Raw genomic sequence first — 7,025 nt, 5'->3', positions numbered from 1 at the left:
GGCGCGATCTTGGCTCACTGCAGCCTCTGCCTCCCGGGTTCAAGTGATTCTCCTGCCTCAGCCTCCCGAGTAGCTGGGACTACAGGCGCACACCACCATGCCCGGCTAATTTTTGTATTTTTAGTAGAGACGGGGCTTCACCATATTGATCAGGGTGGTCTCGGTCTCTTGACCTCGTGATCCACCCGCCTTGGCCTCCCAAAGTGCTGGGATTACAGGTGTGAGCCACCACGCCCGGCCAGATATTGCAGGTTTAACAGTAACCCCCCTGATTTCACATCCAGATGATGGCATCAGCCTCTTAATGGTGATCATGGCTGGAGGGAGAGAGGGGAGCACTCGCTTACCCAGAACAGTGACTCACATATAGTAGTGAATGGGTGTAATTGTTGAATGAATGAACGTTTTGTGGAAAGACAGGAGGGATGGACCATTTCACCTGGGTCAGGGTGATCAAGCCTGTCTCATTTGAAAGGTGGGTTGGTGGTGAGTGCAGGGCAAGTGCGTTGGGCTTCGTGAGCCTTAGTCCCTCCACCTGTGTATTGGAGATGGTGAGAAAGGACTAGCTTATCAGGCTGTTGAAGATTAATCAGAGAGGGCATGTGAGGCCTGATGCATGAGGTGAGGGGTGGCTAATTATAAAATGTCATTGGAGGCTGGGTGTGGTGGCTCACGCCTGTAATCCCAGCACTTTGGGAGGCTGAGGTGGGCGGATCACCTGGGGTCAGGAGTTTGAGACCAGCCTGGCCAACATGATGAAACCCCATCTCTACTAAAAATAGAAAAATTAGCCAGGCATGATGGCAGGCGCCTGTAGTCCCAGCTACTTGGGAGGCTGAGGCAGGAGAATCACTTGAACTCAGGAGGCGGAGGTTGCAGTGAGCCGAGATCATGCCACTGCACTCCAGCCTGGGCAACAGAGTGAGACTCTGTCTCAAAAAAAAAAGAAAGAAAGAAAAGAAAAAATGGAGACAGTGATTTTGCTGGAAAGGGAAAGAGAAGATGAAAGGACAGCTACAGGGGACAAAAGCCAATTGTATGTGTTGCATCTGGGTTTGTTTAGGGGTTGGCTGGTATTTATTCTAGCCTTGATGCAGGGAGGGGGCAGCCAGAAGAGGGAGAGAAGTTGAAAAACGCAGAGAGAGGGAGCCCTCAATGGCGTGATGTCACAGAGGAGACAGGGGACAGTGAGAGAGGCCAGGTGCCCCTTAGCTGCAGGGGGAGCAGGGAGGGACAGCCCAGGCTTCCCAGCAAAAGGGCAGAGGAGCCTGTGTCTTACCAGTCTCGTTCCCTTTGCTTTGCCCAGTAGGATGCCTTATAAAATTGAGACCCTGTGTAAATGCTTAGAGGGAATTAGAGGGAAATTGCTACTGGATGATAAGGCAGAAAGCTCAGTCCAGCCCACCCCCTCCTCCCCACCCCCTCCCAGGGGTTACTCCAGGCTGATGGAGGAACAGAGGAATCAGGAGTTCCTGGTTCCTGTAGCCAGATCAGGAAAGCTCTGGGAAGTCAGCCAGCCAGCGACTTGGAAATTACTGTCAAAGAGAGAGCCTCCTCCCTCTTAATGGGGTTTGCTGTCATCAGATGTCATTATTCCTGTATTCACCAGACAAGAACCTGATATCCCCAGGCAGAAGGGCCGGTCCCCCATTCACCTGTAAAATCTCCACTGCCCACATTGTGCCAGGTGGTGTTGAAAGGGACAAAGGGAATGTAAGCTTGCTCACCGAACGCCCTCTTGCAGGTGGATTGGCTGCCTTTGAATTAGATGTCTACTGCAGTCCAAGGGGATGGGACAAAGTAGTAGGATAGGATAACAGGGGCTCCCTGAAACTATAGCAGAATTTTGACTTGGCACTGCTGTGATGGGGAGCCATAGACTATTTTAAAGTTGGGGTGTAGTGGCTGGGCGCAGTGGCTCATGCCTGTAACCCCAGCACTTTGGGAGGCTAAGGCAGGCAGATCACTTGAGGACAGGAGTTCGAGACCAGTGTGGCCAACATGGTGAAACCCCGTCTCTACTAAAAATACAAAAATTAGCTGGGCGTGGGGGTGCATGCCTGTAATCCCAGCTACTCAGGAGGCTGAGGCATGAGAACTGCTTGAACCCAGGAGGCAGAGGTTGCAGTGAGCCGTGATCACGCCACTGCACTCCAGCCTGGGCAGCAGAGCAAGACTCTGACTCAAAAAAAAAAAAAAAAAGTTGGGGGTAGTGATAGAATCAGAGCTAGGATGTGAGGCAAGGCAGGGCTGCTGGGCGTAGTTGTTCATGTCACACACTGCACAAAGGTACCACATCTAAGGGGCACCTTTCACATCAAGACCTTGTAGAACTGTATGTTTCTTACGACATTTCTTTGGCAGAAGGCAGTTTATCATTCTAACGAAATCAGTGCACGATGGCAGTTTTCCAGTAAATGGAAGTAAAATGTCTGGAGGAAGGGATGCCCTTGCCAATGAGTACAAAGGCCCATATGGGCTGGTGTCAGCCCTCATGGAGAATTCATTGGTCAAGACTGGAAGAGTCTCTCGGTCTTGGCACCATCTTCTTGGAAACCTCTGTGCCACGAGAGCTAAGTGGAGGAAGAAGCAAATATACAAGTGGAAGCGCAAAAGAAGAAAGATGAAGCCGGGCAAGGTGCCTCACACCTGTAATCCCAGCACTTTGGGAGGCTGAGGTGGGCAGATCCACTTGAGGTCATGAGTTAGAGACCAGCCTGGCCAACATGGCGAAACCCCATCTCTACTAAAAATACAAAATTAGCCAGGCGTGGTGGCACATGCCTGTAATCCCAGCTACTTGGAAGACTGAGGCAAGAGTATCATTTGAACCCAGGAGGTGAGGTTGCGGTGAGCCGAGATCGTACCATTGCACTCCAGTCTTGGCAACAAGAGCAAAACTCTGTCTCAAAAAAAAAAAAAAAGAAAGAAAGAAAGAAAAGGAAAAAAGAGGCCGGGCACGGTGACTCACACCTGTAATCCCAGCACTTTGGGAGGCCGAGGTGGGCGGATCACGAGGTCAGGAGTTCAAGACCAGCATGACCAACAGGGAGAAACCCCATCTCTACTAAAAAATACAAAAATTAGCCGGGCGTGGTGGGGTGCACCTGTAATCCCAGCTACTCAGGAGGCTGAGGCAGGAGAATCGCTTGAACCCAGGAGGCAGAGGTTGCAGTGAGCCGAGATCGTGCCACTGCACTCCAGCCTGTGTGATAGCGTGAGATTCAAAAAAAAAAGGAAAGAAAGAAAAGCAAGTGAGATGCCAGTCACAGCTGTGCCTGGCCCTCCCACTAGGAGACAATGCAGCACAATGAGAAGGGTATTGGAGCCCCTGGTCCTAAATCCTGGTTAGGAGCTGCATGCCTTTGAGCAATTCATGCCCTTAATCTCCCTAAATCCTGGGATCCCCCCTTTAGTCTTCGCAGGCTGGAAAATGGAAGGGCCCAGCTCTGAATATCACTCAGTTCCGTGGGAGAAAAGCTGACACTCCAGTGAGTGCCGGCAGCGCCCCCAGAGGATTCCATGAGGCAATGTATGCAAAGTGCTGGCCTTGTACATGCTCAGGGCTCCACAACCGTCTGCTTCTTCCTCCAGTGAGTTTGCACTCCAGGCAATATTTAGTAACGTCTGGAAACATTTTTTGGTTGTCACATTTGCAGAGGTGGGTTCCACTGGTATCGAGTGGCTGGAGGCCAGGGACGCTGCTTCAGCGCCCTACATTGTACAGGACAGCCTCATAGCAAGGAATGAACTGGCCTGCGGTGTCAGCGGTGCCCAGCCTGGGAAACACCGCCTACTCTCAAACACTTTTGAGCTCCTAGAAAGCAGAAAAATGTGTCTCGTCTTGCTGTTGTTGTTGTTGTTGTTCTTGTTTTTTGAGACAGGATCTCAGTCTGTTGCCCAGGCTGGAGTACAATGGCATGATCTCAGCTCACTACAACCTCCACCTCCCGGGTTCAAGCAATTCTCCTGCCTCAGCCTCCCGACTAGCTGGGATTACAGGCGCCCACCACCACGCCCAGCTAATTTTTGTATTTTTAGTAGAGACAGGGTTTCACCATGTTGTGCAGGCTGGTCTCGAACTCCTGGCCTCAGGTGATCCGCCAACCTCGACCTCCCAAAGTGCTGGGATTACAGGCATGATCCACCGAGCCCGGTTTAGGTTGTTACCTTTGAATACTTTGTGGACACTCATGTGGATGAGGGCCTGGCCTTGTCCCGTGTGGCCTTCTAGAAGGCCCAGTGCTCTAACCAGGGCCTGCTGTGAGGCATGCTGGGTCTTCAGAAGGCAGCCTGGCAGGACAGGTAGCAGGTTCTAATTACACCATAGGGGGTCCCATGTGACAGTTAATAGCAGTGCCAAGTCTGGGCCAGGTTGGGCCAATAACTGGGGGGCAACCTACCCTGTAGGCAAGGCCTTGCAGAGGAGGAAGTTTGGGCCAGAGAATACCTGCTGCCCTCTGGTGGTGTCTTTTTAAAAAAGGAATTTGGCTGGGCAGGGTGGCTCACAACTGTAATCGCAGCACTTTGGGAGGCCATGGTGGGTGGATCACCTGAGGTCAGGAGTTCAAGACCAGCCTGGCCAACATGGTAAAACCCCGTCTCTACTAAAAATACACAAATTAGCCGGGCTTGGTAGCGGGCACCTGTAATCCCAACTACTTAGGAGGCTGAGGCAGGAGAATCACTTGAACCCGGGAGGCAGAGGTTGCAATGAGCCAAGATCATGCCGCTGCACTCCAGCCTGGGTGACAGAGTGAGACTCCATCTCAAACAAACAAACAAACAAACAAAGGAATTTATGGGCTCAGATTTTTATAGGAAGCCGAGTTCCATTTAGGCCACATGGTATTTGAGGTGACATTGACACCTGGGGGCTTCGTGCAGCAGGCAGCGGGCTTCATGGGCTGGGTCCTTAGGAAAGAGGACTCCCTGGAGAGATGGATCCAGCTCCACGTTGGTAAGCACTGAGAACTGCAGGTAGAGAGTGGATCCAGGGCCAAGCCCTGGGGAGCCCCCTTATTGAAGGGGTGCGTGGGGAAAAAGGAACCAGGAAGACAACCAGGAAGAAATGTCATAGAGGGAGGAGGAAGAGGAGAGCCACGAGACAGATGAGTCACAGAGGCTAAGGGAAGCAGACCCAGGAAAGGAGGCATGACCCACGCATCACATGCAAGGAGATGGAAGGTGCAAATGGGGCCACGATGCTGAGTGCTCACGCTCATGGAGCTCTCACCATGCTCCAGGCTCTGCTCCAAGCTCTGAGCATCCTCACAATCACCGCTGGAGGTCTGTCCTATGACGGTCCTGTGTTACAGATGAGGACCCAGGAGAGGGAGGTGACCAAGGGCTGGTGGCTGGTGAAAGGCCTGTTGGAGGCAGCTGAGGCTGTGCCAAAGGTACCATCTGGGCCCCAGATTTCTTTTGGAGAACCACCTTCCCTTTTCCTCAGCCAGTAGACACAGGGCTCTGATTGATCTACGTGAATTGGCAGATTCCATCCCAAGCCCCTCCAGTCTCACTGATGCATTCAGGGATATTCACGTGACCTAAATCAAGTCAGTGAGATCCACACCCAGGACTCTGAGAGAGAGGAGCTCTATTTCTGTTGTGCTGAGCGTAAAGCTGAGATGGTGAAGCCTGAAGCTGCTGCAGCCGTCTTGCAGGCATGAGGGGTAAACCTGTCTGAGACTTGGGACAATGCAAGTTAGGAAGTGGAGCTGTGCTCAGCCACAAGAGAGCTGGATGACAATGTGACTGTACCCGAAGCCGACATTACCCCTGAACTTTACCATTAGTAAACCAGTAAATTCCTTGCCTGCCTCACTGGTTTGGGTTGGTTTTTCTAGTTTGCCTCACTAGTTTAGGTTGTCATTAAATGAAAGCAAACTGTACCAGTTATCTATGGCCACAATTAAGCTGTGTAAGAAACCAAGAAACTTAGCAGCAATTGGGCTCATGAGACTGGATCAGTATTTAGGCTGGACTTGACTAGGCAGTTTTTCTGGTCTCAGCTGGGCTCACACACGTTGGTCAGCTGGGATGAGTGGGAAAACCAGGCTACATGTGGAGGCCACCATGACAAACATTTGAGTCACTGTTGATGTTTTGCCTCTAGAAGCTCTTGGCCATCCAAATTCCAGGATAGGAATTTGGAAAGTGGTTGGTGAAACTGATGCGGGGTTGGGCTTTTCTGCAAACACTTCAGATAAACAGAATTGCAAGAAATGCATTCATATGAGAGAAGCTAGTCTGTTGCAGATTGTCTCTCAGTTCCGGTTTGTGTACTGTTTCCTTGGGATTCGATCCAGGTGGTTCATTTTTAGCAGCAGACTTCACAGGTGCTGTGGGGTCCTTTTACAGACGTGGAAAATGGGTATAATGGGGAGGGATGTCTTTTAGCTCAGAGTTTGGCACAAAATAGGCACTTAATCAATAATGTCTGTAAATACTGATGATGATGATGATGATGATGATGATGATGATGATTCACCATAGGACATGATTTGAGGGTTGTTAACTTGATCTTAAACGGCATGTGGGTCAATAATGCCCTCTTCTGGCTAGGTAGGGTGTCTACATCTTCTCCACTTCCTCAACCCTGTGGAATTCAACCCTCACCCCATCCCCACTCCAAGTACCTGCAGCAGGTACCTTTCTGGGCTTTGTGAGTGTGGCCAGAAGTCCAAGCAGTCCCAGCCCGCAGGTGTCAGACTGATGCATGCGTGACACTTTGCGAGTGGTCAGAAAACATGAGCCCTTGCTTTGGCCACCAGGACTGTGGTCACACCTCCTTCCATCTCTGGGCCTCCGTCTCTCCATCTAACATGGAGGTTGCACAGCCACCCAACAGGGGACCATGGCAGAGCTCAAAAGGTGTCTGTTCAGCCGGGCGCGGTGGCTCACGCCTGTAATCCCAGCACTCTGGGAGGCTGAGGTGGGCGGATCACGAGGTCAGGAGTTCGAGACCAGCCTGACCAACATGGTGAAACCCCGTCTCTACTAAACATAGAGAAATTAGCCAG

At 51.3% G+C, this 7,025-nt stretch overlaps 4 annotated features.

Annotated features, from left to right (window-relative positions):
- Nucleotides 3,620-4,120: an enhancer, noted in NCBI's record as "H3K4me1 hESC enhancer chr22:39891955-39892455 (GRCh37/hg19 assembly coordinates)". NCBI's record gives its function as "activates a minimal SCP1, AML or CMV promoter by ChIP-STARR-seq in naive H9 embryonic stem cells {active_cell/tissue: H9 hESC(naive)}" and the evidence as "EXISTENCE:reporter gene assay evidence [ECO:0000049][PMID:30033119]".
- Nucleotides 3,754-3,803: an enhancer, noted in NCBI's record as "active region_19056". NCBI's record gives its function as "activates an Ori minimal core promoter by ATAC-STARR-seq in GM12878 lymphoblastoid cells {active_cell/tissue: GM12878}" and the evidence as "EXISTENCE:reporter gene assay evidence [ECO:0000049][PMID:35858748]".
- Nucleotides 4,199-4,298: a silencer, noted in NCBI's record as "silent region_13756". NCBI's record gives its function as "represses an Ori minimal core promoter by ATAC-STARR-seq in GM12878 lymphoblastoid cells {active_cell/tissue: GM12878}" and the evidence as "EXISTENCE:reporter gene assay evidence [ECO:0000049][PMID:35858748]".
- Nucleotides 4,389-4,448: a silencer, noted in NCBI's record as "silent region_13755". NCBI's record gives its function as "represses an Ori minimal core promoter by ATAC-STARR-seq in GM12878 lymphoblastoid cells {active_cell/tissue: GM12878}" and the evidence as "EXISTENCE:reporter gene assay evidence [ECO:0000049][PMID:35858748]".

This window comes from Homo sapiens, chromosome 22 (genome assembly GCF_000001405.40).
Source record: "Homo sapiens chromosome 22, GRCh38.p14 Primary Assembly".
Taxonomy (NCBI): Eukaryota; Metazoa; Chordata; class Mammalia; order Primates; family Hominidae; genus Homo; species Homo sapiens.
This window is presented reverse-complemented; position numbering and strand designations above follow the sequence as displayed.